Source organism: Homo sapiens, chromosome 17, assembly GCF_000001405.40.
Source record: "Homo sapiens chromosome 17, GRCh38.p14 Primary Assembly".
NCBI lineage: Eukaryota > Metazoa > Chordata > Mammalia > Primates > Hominidae > Homo > Homo sapiens.
In genome coordinates, this window is record NC_000017.11 from 69,004,281 (window position 1) to 69,022,451 (window position 18,171).

Consider the following 18,171-nt stretch of genomic DNA (forward strand, 5'->3'; position numbering starts at 1 on the left):
TACAGATGGGGTTTTTGGTGTGGATGTCCTTTCTGTTTGTTAGTTTTCCTTCTAACGGACAGGACCCTGAGCTGCAGGTCTGTTGGAGTACCCTGCAGTGTGAGGTGTCAGTGTGCCCCTGCTGGAGGGTGCCTCCCAGTTAGGCTGCTCAGGGGTCAGGGACCCACTTGAGGAGGCAGTCTGCCCGTTCTCAGATCTCCAGCTGCGTACTGGGAGAACCACTGCTTTCTTCAAAGCTGTCAGACAGGGACATTTAAGTCTGCAGAGGTTACTGCTGTCTTTTTGTTTGTCTGTGCCCTGCCCCCAGAGGTGGAGCCTACAGAGGCAGGTAGGCCTCCTTGAGCTGTGGTGGGCTCCACCCAGTTCGAGCTTCCCAGCTGCTTTGTTTACCTAAGCAAGCCTGGGCAATGGCAGGCGCCCCTCCCCCAGCCTCGCTGCCGCCTTGCAGTTTGATCTCAGACTGCTGTGCTAGCAATCAGCGAGACTCCGTGGGCGTAGGACCCTCTGAGCCAGGTGGGGGATATAATCTCGTGGTGCGCCGTTTTTTAAGCCCGTCGGAAAAGTGCAGTATTCGGGTGGGAGTGACCCGATTTTCCCGATTTTCCAGGTGCCGTCTGTCACCCCTTTCTTTGATTAAGAAAGGGAACTCCCTGACCCCTTGCGCTTCCCGAGTGAGGCAATGCCTCGCCCTGCTTCGGCTCGTGCATGGTGCGCGCACCCACTGACCTGCGCCCACTGTCTGGCACTCCCTAGTGAGATGAACCCGCTACCTCAGATGGAAATGCAGAAATCACCCGTCTTCTGCGTCGCTCAGGCTGGGAGCTGTAGACCGGAGCTGTTCCTATTCGGCCATCTTGGCTCGTCCCTCCTGGCTTATCTTTTTCTCTGAGTAATATTTTGATGTAGGGCCTTGCTTTCTATCAGTACCTTTGAAGCCTGGAGGCCTAGATGCATACAGCGTCCTCAGCTTAGGCTGTGTGTAGCCTTATTGCTTTCTCCTTTAGGTCATGTCCAGTGTTCTGCACCAGTTTTCACCCTACCTAGTAGGCAGTGAATCTCATTGTCAAGGGGTGGGCACCCTATTAGACGTTGGGCCACAGTCCAATTCAGTCCAGAGCCCTGTAAAATAGCAAACCTCAGCATCCCACCTCTCCAGGTGAAGCATTCTTCTCTCAAGGGTTTTTATTTACCTGTGCTAGGATGTTAACTCAGTCACTCATGTATACCTTTTTAGAGCCAATTATTAGCATTTTATCAACTAAGTTTTCCTCATCAAAATTGCTTGTTGAGGATGGAAGTAGACTTAGGAAAAGCTCCGTATCAGGGACTTCGTTCCTTGGCCACCACATTTCCACTTCGGTTTTCTTTGTTTCGTTCTACCCTGCTCTACGAACAAAGAGGTTCTCTGTCTACATACCTAATCAAATATAACTTGTATGATGTTTAATTTAAATTTCTACATGCTGGCTTATTTTTTTTTCCAACTAATCTTCTAGTTCTGAAACAGGTGATTTAAGTTCCACTTGGATCTTTGGAGAGGATTGTGTGATGTATTTTGCTGTTGTGTATTATTTGCTAAACAAATAAGGAGACTTCCATTTTCTGCATGGATTTTGCATTTTGTCAACATATTTCTTTCCTTATTTAAGACTTTAGGTCTAGAACTTGACTTCATCTGCTATTTGGGCAGCCATTTCTAATTTCCTCATTTTAAAAATGCCTGTTAAGTCATTGCCCATGACTTAGATGTGTTTATTTTAACAAACATATAGCTAATTTTTTTAACCCAGTCTGGAAGTCATTGTCTTTTCTTCTTATTTTCTAATTTGTATTTACTCATGGTATTTTATTTTAGTTTCTTTCAAATGTGAGGCATCCCCCATATCATCCCCTGGAATTCTCATACTCTGTGGGTGGTTCCACCTCTTTGAAAAACTGTTTGGCAAGATCAACTAAAGTTGAACATAAAGTTGAATACATTGTGACCTAGTAATTCCACTGCTAGGTTTACATCTCAAGATATACACACACATGCAACAAAAGACATACAAGAACAAGAAAGTTCATGGCAGTGTTATTTATAGCAGTTCAAAACAAGAAGCCACTTGAATGTCCATCAACAATGAATAAATAAATTATAGCACATTCATCAGTAGACTATTACAGCAATGAAAAGGAATAAACTATTCTGGTTGTTATCAAATGCAACAGCATGGATGATTCTAAATAACCTATTGTCGATTATATACAGATATATAATTATGCCTTCTACATGATTCCATTTTTATTAAGTTCAGAAACTGGCTACATTACCTATGTTAATATAATAGGAGTAATGATTTTTACAAGGAGGAGGGAAATTGGAAATGGGATGGAAGGGGGCTTCTAGGGTTCTAGTATTGTTCTATTTATTGATGTACCTGGTAGTTTTGGGGAAGTGCTCAAAAAAACTACCAGACACATCAATAAATAGAACATTACTAGGTGTGCTTAAAATGTGTGAACTTTTCTATAATGTAGGCTATACTTTTCAACTAAAATTTATTTTGAAAAGATCTCATTGGATATTATATAGAAAATAGTTCACAGGAGGCAAGAGTAGAAACAGAGAGACCAGTTACAGATATGTTGCGCTACTCTAGGTGACAGAGTATGAAAGCATAGGCAATGGATAGAGCAGTGAAGTTGGGACACATCAGGCAGACTGGGAAATGTCTAGAGTTTAAATGACATGCATGTGGATTGAATGAAGGAAAAAATGGGGCGTGATCAAGGATGATTCCAAACTTTTAGAATGAGAAAATAGCTAGGTGGATTCTGCTGCAATAATGTAATCTATTCAGAAATGATGAAGGCCAGGCACGGTGGCTCACGCCTGTAATCCCAGCACTTTGGGTGGGTCATGAGGTCAGGAGTTCATGACCAGCCTGGCCAATATGGTGAAACCCCGTCTCTACTAAAAATACAAAAATTAGCCGGGTGTGGTGGCGCACACCTGTAATCCTAGCTACTCAGGAGGCTGAGGCAGGAGAATTGCTTGAACATGGGAGGCGGAGGTTGCAGTGAGCTGAGATCATTCCACTGCACTCCAGCCTGGGCGACAGAGCGAGACTCTGTCTCAGAAAGAAAAAGAAAAAAAGAAATGATGAAGAATAAGATTGAGGTGACAATTACATTTCCGGTATGTGATCACTAAGGTCTTCTTTAAATATTCAGGTGAAATTGCAAGTGAATTGCTAGAAGCAGAAGTCTCTACTCAGGGGAGAAGTTAGACCTGGAGATATGTTTGAAGAGCATAGTTTATAGATAACATACACTCACTCATAGAGTAGACTTTAAATAGTACTTTGATTATCTTAGAAGAATTAAAATTTTCTAGAGAGCAATAATAATTTGCCACTCTGCTTAGCACAAAGATTAAACATGTTCTTGGATTTATGAAAAATGGTAAAATAATAGGTAGTATATGCATACTCACAATTAAGAAGAAAAATGACCAAATGCCACTATTTTTTCTCCCATTGCGAAAAATGAATGAAATCACATATGTCAAGAAAACAAGAGATGAGACATAGCCAATACTACACAGGATCTGAAAACAGAAATGTTAAGGTCCAATAAGGTAAATACTATCTAGAAGAGTACTCATATTTACTCTTCAATTTTCCAAAACTATGCAATAGCACAGGTAATTTGAAGTTCTTTGGTTTAAGATTAATGATATTACTGCATTCATGAAAAAATAGTCTAATAAAACCATTTCAAAATTGCTGCCACTTACTTGAATTAACAGGTTTTGAATTATAAATATAATCTCCTCTGGGCTAAAAATATAATCCATTATTTGCATTAGCAGGAGGATCAAAAAGTACAGGGAAACATCCACCAGTGCTTGGCCAAACCAGTATGCAGAAGGGTAGAGGCCTGAAATCCGTAGCTGGGAATGAGCTTTTTTCTGATAAAGAAATAGAAGAATCATCAAAAGGTTCTGAAGAGCTGAAGTTTGGGAAATTGCAAATATACAGTCATGAAAGCATTCATTTTTGCTTCGCCTTTTAGAAATATTATCCTGATTTAGCAAATGATACCACCACTCGCCACACCCTTGTTCAGAGGCATTGATAATGCTGCAAGCCACGTCATTATTTCATTGTCTAAAGGGAAAACGCACCAACATAACTAGCTAATGTTATGTCACAGAATGATTGGGCATGGCCTCAGTGAGAAGACATCTTTTCTTTGCAAGACTATTCTTTCCTTCGACGTGAAAACTTGCACATTGCACAAAGGTTCAACAGAAGTAGGATTACCATTTCCTGTAAGACACTTAAAATTTATGCTGAATGTAAACAGTGCATTTATCATTGGCATTTTATTTTGGGTCTAAGAAATGGTCCTCTAGTTGATTTCATTTAAAAACTGTTTAGGTTGGAATCGGCAAGACTGCCTTTAAAATGTTGCACTATTCTTATTGTCTTGCCGTAAGTCATATTTTTCATCATCACACTGTGAAAACTGGTGAGTGGATTTTGCTATTGTGACCACTATAAGTCACATTATTGCAGTGATTGTCATAACACAAGGTCTTGAAAATGTGACCTGGACTATTTTAAACAGTAAAGCATAAAGGCAATTAAAATTTCAAATCTAAAATTGAGTCTATATAAGGAGATTCATTAGCAAAAAACTGGAATGCAAATAATTCTGGAAAGGAGAGTACATCTGGAAGGAAGTAGGAAAGAGGATGATAGTGAGGACCGTTAGAGAGCTTGCTATTTTCTATTCATCAACTTATTTAATATATATTTACAGAATGTATACCGTATGGCTGGCTTCATATTGGTCACGGGGCACTTATAAATTTAAGTTGCAGGGGAAGAGGAAATAGAGGCAATAGGCAAATAAATATAGTGATAGCTACCTAAGTAAAATTGTACATGTGTTAAGAAGAATTCAGGGTTGTATTACAGCCTTTCAAAGAGAAACGAATTGTAACTCGGGGGTCAGGTCAGAGAAGGTTCCCTTGTGAAGTCATGAGTTAGGGTATGGGCAGTGAATAGGATATATCTGGGTGACCGGTCAGAAAGCACTGTGGGCAGAGAGAACAGCAGGAGAGAAGACCCTTCCGTGGAAAGAGGCTGATGTTCTGGGAAGCTAGAAAGAAGCCAGTGTGGCTGGAGCATGGTTATCAAGGTGTCAGTAGCATCAGATTAAGGGAGTAAGATACACCTGGGCCCAGATCACTCATGGCTTTCAGACAATGGCAAGGATTTCAATCCTGCTCCTTGGTATGACGAGAAACCATTGAAGAGATTTAGACAGAGAATTAACATGGTCAGCTTTGTGTTTTTAAGGTATTACTCTGTCACACTGGATGAAAAATAGAGACGACTAATATGGACTTATAGGGTGGCTGTTGTGCTCATCCAGAAGAGAGATGATGATGGCTCTGGCTGGTGTTTTGTAGGAGAGATGGAGGAAAACTTTCTAGAAAGATTCCATAAATATTTCAGAAGTATATTCCGTGACTTCACCATTAGCCAGCTATGAAGATGAGAGAGAAAGAAAGACATTGACATCGTGGGGTTGCCAGTTAAATTTGAATTTTAGATAAATAACTTTTTGAGTATAAATATGTCCCATGCAATATCTGGAAAATACTTATACTAAAAAAATTCATTGTTTCTCATATTAAATCTTAACTGGGTGTCTGTAATTTTATTTGCTTAATTCTGGCATCCTAACAAAAATAGCTCTTAGGTTTCAGTCAAGAGTAAAAGAATGAAAGGTGATCCATTATTTATAGAGATGAGTAACAACGAAGTACGTAAAATTTAGAGAAAAACATTCCTGTGCTGATGATGTTTATTCCTAGTTGACAGGAGACAGTTAATTAAAAAAAAAAAAAAGCAAAGGTTCAGATAATGATAAGTACCATGCATAGATTTTTAAGATAAGCTCATATAATAGTTATGGGAAATCTATTTCAGACTGGTTAAGCAGAGAAGGGGTCTTGGCTGAAATACTTAAATATTTGCGCTGAGATCTGAATTACAAAAAAGCCAGCTGTAGAAAGAACAGAAGAAAGAGCATTCCAGCCAGAAGAAATGGCCAATGTAAAGGCCCAGATGATATTGGCATATTTGAGAACCAGAAGGAAAAGTGGGGTAGCTAGAGGAGGAGAGTACAAGGAGGAAAGGTAGAGAGATAAACAAGAGACAAATGAGGGAGGGAGGGCTCTGCCAGACAACATAAATAATTAGAATTTAATTCTACCTGCAAAGAGAAACTGCCGGGGTTGTTAAATAAGGTAATGAGATGATCTAATTTAAACTTCTGAAAGTTTGCTCTGGTTGTATGAAAGGAATTAATTGCAAATAAGGAAACCTATGGGTAACTCTTGCAGTGGTTTAGGCAAGGAATGATGATGACTTAGACCACGAAGAAAATAGTGGAGAGGGAGAGAAATGGATGGGTTTGAAGTAGAACTTAAAAGAATTTCCAATGGATTAAATAAAGGAGATAAAGAGACAACGATAATGCGAAAATTTTATGCTAGAGCAACTGTAGACAATAGTGCCATTTGCTAAAACAGGAAAATCATGAAGTGAGCACAACTGGTTAGGAAAATAAAAAGTTTTATTTTGCCCATGTGTGAAATATCTATTACTCAGCTATATGGTAATATCACATAGGCCACTGTACATATAGAAGTCAAGAATTCTGGAACTAGCTGAAAAGGGCCCTAGAACTAAAGCCTGGACATTTAGACATCAAGCATTAACATTTATGGGAAAGTTACTATATGGCAAGTATGGTTCTAAGTAACTCATTGGTATTATATCACCACATCCTCACAGAAACCTATTTCAAATAGATGTAACTAGTATCTCATTTTATAGACGATCAAAATGAGGCATAGAGTGATTAAGTAACTTTTGAGATTCATGCAGCTTGACAATGGAAATATTGAGATTTGAACTCAGAGGAGTTTACCCCAAAAAAAGTGTGAGAAAGAGTGACAAGAGCAGGAGGAAAAAGACAGTGAATGTGTGGTCTTATAAAAGTAAAGGAAAAATAGTATTTTGTGTTTCTTATGGGAGAAGTCACTAAAGATAGGGACAGTTTAAGAGCAGAATAAATAAAAATTAAGTCAAGCCCTTCAAAAACATGTCCTGAGCATCAGTGGATGATGACAAGGACATGAAGACATGGGAGAGTAGCAGATAGACTCTGTTACAGGCTCCTCGAATTTTATTTTTTAAAAACTCACAAAAATGGAGCTTTAAATGGACAATATTTTCCAACAACAAGTCAAAGTGCTGTGGTGAGTTGGTCAGGGCTTTTAAACTGAGTAGCTTTAGCACCATCTGGAAAGTAGAAACCACCATTGAGAGATGAGATGTGATTATGTCTGTGAGTAAGTCTTATAAGTCAAATTTTAAGTGATAAACATTTGAAAGTTGTCATTCCCTGTTAGCAGATGACATCTAAGCTGTCCTTCCTGAGGTCTCACATTTGTTTCAGAAAGATAGCATTTTCTTCATATTTGACAATTATTATTAAAGTGCTTGATTATTCATTGCATCAAGTACAAAAATTAGATTTACCACTTGCATGTAAATTTATAGTCGTAAGGGTGTGGGAAGGGTTCTCTAGATATAAAAAACATGTGAAGACTTTAACTCTTCTTACTTTGTAGTCACCAATGCTGCTCATTGCAATGTATGGAGTGAAAGAGGCTGCCATCGGTATCCAGAAGAAGGTGTTACTTCGGTACCCATACTCATAATCCATATGCTCCTGAAATCATGTGGAACATGGTGAGCTGATGGCGATTGGGCATCTGTTTCATCTGTACTTTCTTAACTAAATCACTCAAATAAATGAATTGAGCTGATCACTCAAAGTGCTTCTCAAGGTCCTATATGCAACTTCTTACCCACATTCATTTTCAATCCTGTATTGCAGCAACTAGGACCTTCTGAACACGTAGCCTGATTTACTTATGAAGAAGCAAATTCAACCAAGTGATACGAATTGTCTAAGGTCATACAGTTAATAACTTGTAAGGTAGGCATGAAACGTCTTTTCTCTGACTTTATGGTTACAATCTTACATGCATTGCTTATATACATCAAGGCTGATGTTTTAAGAGACAATAGAGATTGTGGACTGTCAGTGGAGGGGCTAGGAGAAAAATGGTCAGCACGCCCTCCATGTTAGGCACTATGTTAAAAAAAAAAATCAAAACCCTGTACATATTAAAGAGGATCTTGAGTTTTGCTACAAGCCTTAATTTTGAAAAAAAAATTTAAAATTTGTGGGTACATAGTAGATGTATATATTTATGGGGTACATGAGATGTTTTGACACAGGCATGCAATGTGAAGTAAGCACATCATGGAGAATGGGGTATCCATACCCTCAAGCATTTATCCTTTGCGTTACAAACAATCCAATTATACTCTTTTAGTTATTTTTAAGTATATGATTAAATTATTATTGACTAGAGTCACCCTGTTGTGCTATAAAATACTAGGTCTTATTCATTCTTTCTGTATCTATTTTTTGTACCTATTAACCATTCCCACTCCCTTTCCCAGCCTCTGGTAACCATCATTTGACTACGTCCATGAGTTCAACTGTTTTAATTTTCAGATCCCACAAATAAATGAGAACATGCAATGTGTGTCTTTCTGTGCCTGGCTTATTTTATTTAGCATAGTGATCTCCAGTTCCATCTACGTTGTTGCAAATGACAGGTTTTCATTCCTTTTTATGGCTGAATAGTACTCCATTGTGTATATGTACCTCATTTTCTTTATCCATTCATCTGTTGATGGACACTTAGGTTTCTTCCAAATCTTGGCTATTGTGAACAGTGCTGTAACAAACATGAGAGTGTGGATATCTCTTTGATATACTTATTTCCTTTTGTGGGGGTAGCAAAGGTGAGATTGATGGATTGTATGGTAGTACAAACCTTAATTTGATCTATCATCAGTTACCTCACTACATTGCAAGTCATCTGGTATGATGAGTTTTGAAGTTTCTTTACTTCTCTGTTCTCTTACTCCCTCCTAAAACTCAGCACCCCTCTGAGACATTACAGCATATAAAACTTGCTTGTCTAAAGATGTGTTTGTGTAGATAAGGCCCTGGGAGGGGAAAAAAGGGTGCCAAAGACTACATCCCCCATCTCATATCTTTGCCTGTGGATACCATTGTTGATTTTCCTGATTTGGAAGACCTCTGGGGGAGGAAAAAATCACAATTCATCTTGACAACCAGCTTCCTTACTCATGACTGGGTTCATAAATGACATATTATGTCTGTGTTAGATCATATCCACCCACAGTCAGAGTTTGATGTGACTCAGCCTGACAGGGTCCTTCCTAAGCTGAAAGACACTGGATGCCTCCTGGGTAGTTTGGCCGGGTGATGACTTGCAGGAATGGCTGGATGGGAGTGCTGTAGGACACTCCGATAGATGATAAAAATTATTGAGAGGGATCAGCAGCAAGACCTGAGCTACAGTGAGCCTGGTACTTTACTTTAGGATCAAGTGGAATAGGCTTACAAAATTGTAACAGAGAATGCCAGGAGCTGGGTGGGGAAACCAGAGGTGGCAATTCAAAGAGATAATTTGTCTACCTATGAACTCAAGGTCAGCTGGGCTGGTGGGTAGCCAATATTCTGTAGTGAAGACATCTTTTTAAAGGTGGGAATTCAGGTCACTTGCTCATTCTTGGGAACATCCTATTCTTTGTCATCCAGATAATTGGCTAGCCTACTCAAATATAATAGATAATGAAACACAGTGACACCTCAGTGGGCTACAGTTTCCTCAGCTGTCTAATAATAACACAAGTTGAGAATCCCTAATCTGAAAATCTGAAATCTGAAATGCTCCAAAATTCAAAACTCTTTGAGTGCCAACATGACACTACAAGTGGAAAATTCCATACCTGACCTCATGTGAAGGGTCACATTCAAAACATAGGCACACAACACAGAGTTTATTAAAAACATTGAATAAAAATATCTTCAGGCTCTGTGTAAAAGGTGCACATGAAACAAACGAATTTCATGTTTAGACTTGGGTCCCATCCCCAATATATCTCATTATGTAAATGCAAATATTCCAAAATCTGAAAAAATCGAGAATCCGAAACACTTCTGGTCCCAAACGTTTCAGATAAGGGATGCTCAATCTATAATAGGAATAGTAACAACTATTTCAAAGTCTGCTTGGGACATTTAAACATGCTAATACATATAAATTACATGGGAAATATCTGGTTTTGTCCAAGAAATTTTTGAAGGAAGCAGGACTGCTGAAACGTGGCTTGAAAAAAACAATGGTATGATGTGCTTTGGAGAAGACAGGGCAATCTCCTTCACATCCCCAAACCTCTGTAGCTTTCAGGCAGCATGCAAGAAGCACTCAACAGCTCTCATAGCTCTTTCTGAGGAAGCACAGAGGTTAAAGCAAGGCAGAAGTTGTTGAATTACCTGGAGGATGGACACATCAAACAATGAACAATGTAGACTGGAGAAAGTTTGACAGTATGGACTTTCCTGCAGCAGCCTAAAGAGACTCTGCAACCCTGGGTGTGTCATCACCTACAGAAGGGTCTGGGGCCAAGCTAAACACCACCCCAAGACAATTACATGGGTCACCTGGGCTGTGGTGACCACATACGTAGAAACTGCTAGCAACTAGAGAAAGCATGATGTCTCCCCAGCACCAGTTCCATAGGAAGAGCTCCAGCTCTCCATTCTTCCATTCTGCCTCCAGCATAGCAGTGCTTTACTCAGAAGGGGAGGGAAAGGGGATTGTCTGAGAGCTAGGACACCCTCCCTTTTCTATTCCATGTGTTAGACTGCAAAGGGAAATGGAAGAGCAAATCACACCACAACTACCCACCCTCTTCCATGCCCCTTAGGCCACAATTTGACCCTGCAAAGTTTAAATTGAATAGAAAATTGAAGTTTGGGACTGCACTAGAATGATCCTTCATAACAAAAAGTAACCAAGAAGCTATAGAATATGGCCAGGGTGTCATTTTCACCAGACGAAGTGTGTTTCAACATAACAAGATGAAAGAGGTGACCTGAAGACATAGAAGTGCACACCCACATCTCTACCCCAGATCTTCTGCCTCTGGGCATCTAAGCAGGCCTGAGAAATTAGATTTTAAACAAGAACTGCCTTAGTTCTCATTCAGCCAGTCCCCAGATCTAATAAAGCTGAACATTATTTAATGGAAACTTCTTTTGATGCATCCCAAGAAAAATAGTTTTAATAGCAATAATAATGAGAAATATAATTTACTGAGCACCTGCAGTTGTCCTATTTTAGGTGCCTCATCACTCGTTCCTACAATAACTGGTCCAACTTAGCCAGGTGCTCACATTGCCTCATTTACTTCTTAAGAAACTTTTGTGATAAAGTCTTTAATCTGTTTTTTGTAAATTGATGACCTATAGCCTGTAGAAGTCAAGTTGCTTAAGAAGGTCACATAGTCTGACCTTTAAGTCTGTTTCAACAATGTCCCACTACCTAGGGCCACAGATGGTGACAGATCTAGACCAAAAGTCATAATGAGTTGTATTTTTCTGTTGCTCTATTGACACCAAGTCATCTGAATAAGGTTATAATATTGTGTGGTCAATTCTAAATTGTGTGTGTGTGTGTGTGTGTGTGTGTTATAATGTTGCGTGGTCATTTCTAAATTGTGTGTGTGTATGTATATTACATATACAGTGATTTATATATATATAAAATATTGCACACAGATTTATATGTGTGTGTGTATATATATATATATATATATACACACACACACACACACACAAGTTTAAGAATAGATTCACAAAAAGTAATATAACATTATTTTAGCATTTCAAGAATTTTCTTGAAAACTTATCATGGCACAGTATAAATGAGATATAATTATACTTACTTCAAAAAATGTGCTTCTGTCAGTCTGAATGTGTTCTGACGAATTAAAAATTCCAAGTAGTCCATTGCTAATGACATCCAGGAGGACAGGAAAGCAATTCAGCCGTTTTGTATTACATGCTATTGAAAATCTGTGATCCTGAAATACAACAAGTACCAATTCGAAGTCTTCATAAAGCAAAGACAAAATTTAATGAGTGAACATGTTAGAAAATCATTCAAGTTACTGATAATATAATAAGTCCCAAGCACTGAATGTGATTAATATCACTATCACTCATAATATTTGATTAATTCTTAAGTATACTTAAAGAATCCGGTATTTTGGTTTCTACCCACCATAACATCAACCATGTGGCTATTTATGCCCAAACATCACAAAACAAAATACTTCAAATGATATTTAGCAGCAACACTACGAAACTCCATAGTGCAACCTCAGTTTAACCTGGCTATAGACTTTGTTTCAAAATGTGACACATTCATTTTATAAGTATATAATGTTTGGATACTTGAGAAATAGGAGGCAGGCAGAAAGTTGTAATGAAAGTATAGGTTTTCATAAATCCTGTGCTTACTTGTAAAGTCTCCCTTAAAATAACGTGTGTGTGTGTGTGTATAATGTGATTATTTTTCCCTCAGAGAAAAATATAAGTAAATTCATTATCCATATTGCCCAAAATGTGGGCAAGCTTTGAGAACACATTTTTGCAATCATAAATAAATCAAGTGTATTGTATTTAACCTAATTACCTAAAGCAATGTTTATTGATGTTAAAACTATTTTACTGAGCATACTGAAAAATAAACTTAAGATATAATGAGAACTATCTTGAAGGTAATTTCTTACTTTATTTTTGGCATGGAGTTTATTCCTGAAAATTAACTGTGACAAATTACAAATGGCCACACTTCGTGACACCTAACAGCTATGATTTATGCATTTAACATAATTATCTCATCTTTTCAATTTGCCTACTGTAGAGATCTCTGACTCAAATTCCTACAGGGTCTAGGCAGGTGATATGAATGAGCAAAGCAGTATGCAGACATAGAAATCAGAAAAGCAAAGGCCAAGTCTACATTGGGCAGTTGTTCTCAGTTCCAACTGAGAATGAGATTTAATTTAATTATTGGAATGGAATCCAATTGATAATAACGATCTAAATAAATTATTATAGCAGTGCATTCAACTTAATCAGGAATAAAATCAAATAAATTTCATTTCATATTGCCATGCTGAAGGCTATGGGGAAATAATTGTAGTCCAGCTTCTTCTATAAAAATGAGAACTATCCCATTTGTTTGTGTGAAATTGGCCTTTCATTCAGCTGATATGAATTATTCAAATTGTACACCCATAGTCCACCTTTGGTGAAATGCAGCAACTGGAGTCCAGCATACCTTTTCATCACCTGACACAATGATAGCACCATTGTAAGATGGGTCATCTGTGCCATTTCTAGTTCCAAAGGCATCCACTTCTATAGCTATGTTCTGTCGCCTCAGTGAATGTAAAAAGTTATCAATGGTTGACCCTACATGAAGGCAAAGATTAAAGGAAGCAAAAATGAAATAAAACAATAGTCAAGTAATATTAAAAATACATTACATCACACAAAGCATATCACACAAAAGGACTGTCTAAGGCTTTTCTTAAAAAAGCAGAATTGATGTTCTGGTACAACAATCCAGTCTAACATCATAGGTATGACAAGGTTACTTTATCTAGAGCCTAGGCATTTCATTATAATTTCTATTAGTATAGAAATAAGAATTGCTGTTAACATTATAATCCTTGAAGCTATTAATAGTCTATCTATCTTTTTAAATTTGAAACATTTTTTTCCAGAGCCCAGCACAGCACAGATTTACAAAATGATACACAAAGACCTCAGAGGTGAGTCAATGATTTACCTCCCTACCTCCTCTTTAGTTGCTTTGTGCAACAAACATTAAGGTTAAGTAAACTTGCAGAATCTATTTCTAAAACAAACTCTCCCATGTCGTATTTTTCATTTTTTAATTTATTTTCTGTTTGGCCTCATATATGCTTTCTAAAACATACAGAGTTTATTTTTTTCTTGGCTGTTCATGTTTTTTGGGGGGAATCTCTCAACAAGAACAACATTTAACAGCTGCATTTCAGCCCCATGTTCACCTGTCTTATTGATGACCAGTAAATGGGTCAGAGGATCCTGTGGTTGTTGTCCTGGTGAGAGGAAGTATGTATTTGGAGACAGTTCCCACGGGTAACTTTTCTGATATGACTCGTAGAATAGATGTTCCAAAAGTTGAGGGATAAAGCTAATACCAAAAAGCAATAATCTATGCAGAGGAAAATGTAAAAGAAAAAAATAATTTTAGCAACTTTTGTGGGTTTTTAAGTTTGAAGGTATAATGAATATAATAACAGAAATAAATTATAATCAATAACCAAACATTTGAATCATACTTTGCCCCACTTCCTTGTTTCTAAAATGAGATGGGTCATATGTATCTACCTTTAGTCTTTTGCTCTCTCTCAAGTGCCAAGCAGGACACCTTGGCTTCGGGTTTATGAAGTCTGTGGATTATGACTCTTAAATCTCTCTTCACAATCCCTAACTCATTGCCTTATTTCAGTCATGCATTTCTTTCTTTTTCTGCACTACTGAAATTGGCATATCACTAACACCCATACTTACTACACTCTGAACTTTATCCCATCCTGTTTCCAATTTCTGTAAATTACAGCATTTTCTCATTCCCCTGGGCACCAAGAGCTCAATCATTTTCCACCCATTTCTCTCCCTTAAGTTTATTTTCTAATATTTGGAAATTCATATCTATCATAGCATCTTTATTGCTTGCCTCCAAACCTTGTTCTCTCTTCCTCTTCTTAAGTTGGGCTTTTATTAACTCCTTCCTGACTCTTCAATATTGTTCTAAATGTTTGTTTTCATTGTCTCCATATTCTACCATTACCAAACAATTTTGCACAATTACCCAATTAAGCTTCTTAACATTTTGTTGACATTATGTCAATTACCTATTGAAAATAAAAAATACAGTCTTAATACTTCCTTAGTATTCATAAAATGCAAACTCCTTAGCTCTTTGAATATATTTCAAAAATATTTTTACTTTTTCATACACTTTATGTTGCAATTAACTCAGATTAATAGTTCTTTAGATTTCTCATGTATCCCCATATTCAGTACTACTCCCTCAGCCTGAATTTCCATTCTCCTCTCTCTTCTTCAAAATCTCCCTGAGCTTTCTATTTTGACATAATCTCCCTCCTACTAAATGCCATAGTTCACAGGATTGTCTGTTATTTACTATATGTCTAATCACCCTCAAGGGTGGACTGTCATGTCTGATTTCTTTTGATATATGTTATAATCACTTAATAATAGAGTGTTGCATAGAGGTGCTCACTAATATTTTTGGATGAATGAATGTTCTCAGTGAATGAGTGTTCCTGATGATAAGGCTGAAGCTCTGGGGGTACATGTGAACCTTATAGTGGGTTCCAGATATGATCGTGAAGCCAAGGCAGACTCTTTTATAGAGCCTCAAGACTGTAACATGGAAATTGTGCCTAAGTTTCCAGTCTTCCAACTACAACATTAACTCTAACCCAAGTTTCCAGTCTTCCAACTACAGCATTAACTCTAACCCAAGTTTCCAGCCTGGTGTTCTGCCTTGTGGATTTCAGATTTGCCAAGCCCCACAATTACATAATGAAATTCCTTAAAGTAAGTATGTTTATATATGTATATCCTATTGGTTTCATTTCCCTGGGGAACCCTGACAGCTACAGATTTTGATACCTTGGGAAAAGAGGAAATGGGTCTTTAGGATGGGACCTAAGTACTAATATCCACGTGCTTTTGAAGAACTACTTCAACCCATTGGTAAAAACAAAATCTGTGTGAAATTTAAAAAAAGAACAATCCCAACCCGTATCTGTTTTAATTATATATCCACATGATTAAAAATGGTTTCTTTAATTAAAAAATGATTTCTTTGTTTAAAAGACAATGTGCATTTACTGAAATTTATTTTATCTGAGTTTCTTTTATGTTTTGCTCTCTTAAATTTATTTTTAGTTCACAGACAAAACAAATCTGAAACACTCAGATACTCACATAGTCCACAGGCTTTTTCTTTCTTTCTTTAACTTTAGGAAGCGAACTTTTGCTATTGCACAGACCTGCTGCCTCCAGAGCGCCACGCCACTGATTGTTTTCCTTGTTTCGTGGAAGGAAGACAAAACTTGTTCCAGCTCAACAAGGCTTCCTATATCTTTTGCCCCATCAGTTTGTAATTGTCCCCAAATTCCAATATCTAAAACATAAGATCAATATTTTATAAAGTGCCATTTTAGTTATGCATTATTTAGCTTTTCCTATGATAAATTTTCCTACAAAGGTGTCAAAGTTACCCTCTTGGGCCAAGATACAAGTAATCTAATGTATGACATTATTAGAGCAACTATTGAAGAAATGGGAAAGAAGCAGAAAGTATTGATATAATAAAAGAAAATCTTGTGTTTTCTGATTTTAAACGTCCTCTGTCTGCAGCTTTATAGGACTTTATTTATTCTAAGGAAATCAATGAAAAAAAACTCATTAAGAAATCTATTTGTTGTAAAAGATAAACCACTTAGTATTTCTGACCAAGGTAGGAGAGTTAGTATATACAGAAACCCCTCCTCTACCCTTCAAGAACATAAAAATGGGAGAAACGATATTTTTAAAATATAACCATGGTTAAAAGCAAGATAAAAGTTACCTGTTTTGAGGTGAAGCCTAGAGAAAATGACTAACTCTGGCTACTAGAAAGCTATAAAATATGTACATACATTAAAATTTAGTATAACACTAAAAAAGTAACAAGTATATAACTTCAAAAATGAATAAGAGAGGAAAAGGAGGATTAAAGAAAAATGCTTGATCAATCCAAAAAGACCCCCAGAAAATTGCAAAAATGAAAATAAAGAGCACAGTAAAGAGTAAACACCATAAGATGATAGTGAACCAGTAAAAAAAATTATCTTAGCAGCAATAAGAGAGAAAAGACAGAATGCTTCCCAAGGAATAAAGATGAGACAGAGAGCAAACTTTCCAAAAGCAACAACTAAATCCCAGATACATTGGAATAATATCACTGAAATGCTACCAGAAAAGTAGCATTTCTGTGAACTCTAATTTTCTTTTCTCTATAGCATGTATATTCAGGTAATATCATACCATATATTTATTGTTTGCTGCATAAGGAACTAGTGTTGTACATTGCTATATTCCACAGAGATATATTTCTTCTCTAAGTTTTCCCAAGACAAGCCTGAATCATAGCACCAACAAAAGTATATAATCTCATCATTTGGGCATATTTTCAAGATAAAATACTGCACACAAAGATAAAATCTTTCTTTCGTCCTTCCTTCCTTCCTTCCTTTCTTTCTTTCTCCCTTTCTTTCTCTTTCTTATTTTTTCTTACCTGATTCATCAATAGTTGATTTTCCTTCTAATTTCAGAAACACCTCATTCAAAGTTGTTATGGAAACACCATAATCCTCAATGCCTTGGTTAGAACATCTATCAAGATCCCTGTAAAGTTCTAAAAGTGGATACAAAAACAGATTATAAGAATATAATTTATAATGAGAACCATATTTCTCAAAAATGTAAAATATTGGTAATAGGCCAAATGTACTAATCAGAAACAAAATTGTGATACAGATGATCTCATTTCTAAAATGATCCATATAGTATGTTACTTTTCATGTCTTTTTGAGATCAAAGTCTAATCTAAACATTTATTTTTTCACTCTTAGGAAACTACCTATGTGTTTTTTGAAAAACATATTTTAATATATTTTTTAAAATTTATTTTTGTTATATTACAGGGAGTGTTTAATTCTCAATTTCAACTAATTAAAAAAATATTTTCCAGAGAATAGAGATTTGTGCTTTCTTGTTGAGATTAATTATTAGAGAATTATAATAACAAATGTAAAAGAACTAATGTTTATAGAAATAATTAAGTATAGACTCTTTGATAGTTTAAAAACATGTAAAATTTCTATTTTTTTTTTTTTGAGACAGAGTCTTGCTTTGTTGTCCAGGCTGGAATGCAGTGGCTCAATTTTGGTTCACTGCAACCTGCACCTCCCAGATTCAAGTGATCCTCCTGCTTCAGCCTCCCGA

General features: G+C 36.9%; 1 protein-coding gene and 1 long non-coding RNA gene across 12 annotated transcripts in view, besides 1 other annotated feature; one reads left to right on the forward strand and one right to left on the reverse strand.

Annotated features, from left to right (window-relative positions):
- ABCA9 (ATP binding cassette subfamily A member 9) overlaps positions 1 to 18,171 on the reverse strand; it is a 104,490-nt gene that overhangs the window by 29,793 nt on the left and 56,526 nt on the right. For all 11 annotated transcript variants that reach the window (XR_007065256.1, XM_017024011.2, NM_080283.4 and 8 more), the window contains 8 exons: positions 17,462 to 17,581; positions 16,108 to 16,306; positions 14,133 to 14,299; positions 13,376 to 13,509; positions 11,973 to 12,110; positions 7,696 to 7,803; positions 3,782 to 3,955; positions 3,479 to 3,592 (listed from right to left, as the gene is read on the reverse strand). Coding sequence is in view for 10 of the 11 variants with exons in the window: in XM_017024011.2 (XP_016879500.1) it covers positions 3,479 to 3,592; positions 3,782 to 3,955; positions 7,696 to 7,803; positions 11,973 to 12,110; positions 13,376 to 13,509; positions 14,133 to 14,299; positions 16,108 to 16,306; positions 17,462 to 17,581 (1,154 nt within the window). In the remaining variant the exon portion in view is untranslated. The remainder of the gene's footprint in view (positions 1 to 3,478; positions 3,593 to 3,781; positions 3,956 to 7,695; positions 7,804 to 11,972; positions 12,111 to 13,375; positions 13,510 to 14,132; positions 14,300 to 16,107; positions 16,307 to 17,461; positions 17,582 to 18,171) is intronic.
- On the forward strand, positions 434 to 14,043 carry ABCA9-AS1 (ABCA9 antisense RNA 1). Its single transcript, NR_126414.1, has 4 exons — positions 434 to 513; positions 7,703 to 7,823; positions 7,972 to 8,073; positions 13,824 to 14,043. It is a non-coding gene; the product is annotated as an ABCA9 antisense RNA 1 (long non-coding RNA).
- Positions 7,304 to 7,504: a silencer, noted in NCBI's record as "peak2963 fragment used in MPRA reporter construct". NCBI's record gives its function as "represses an SCP1 promoter by STARR-seq MPRAs in K562 erythroleukemia cells {active_cell/tissue: K562}" and the evidence as "EXISTENCE:reporter gene assay evidence [ECO:0000049][PMID:32103011]".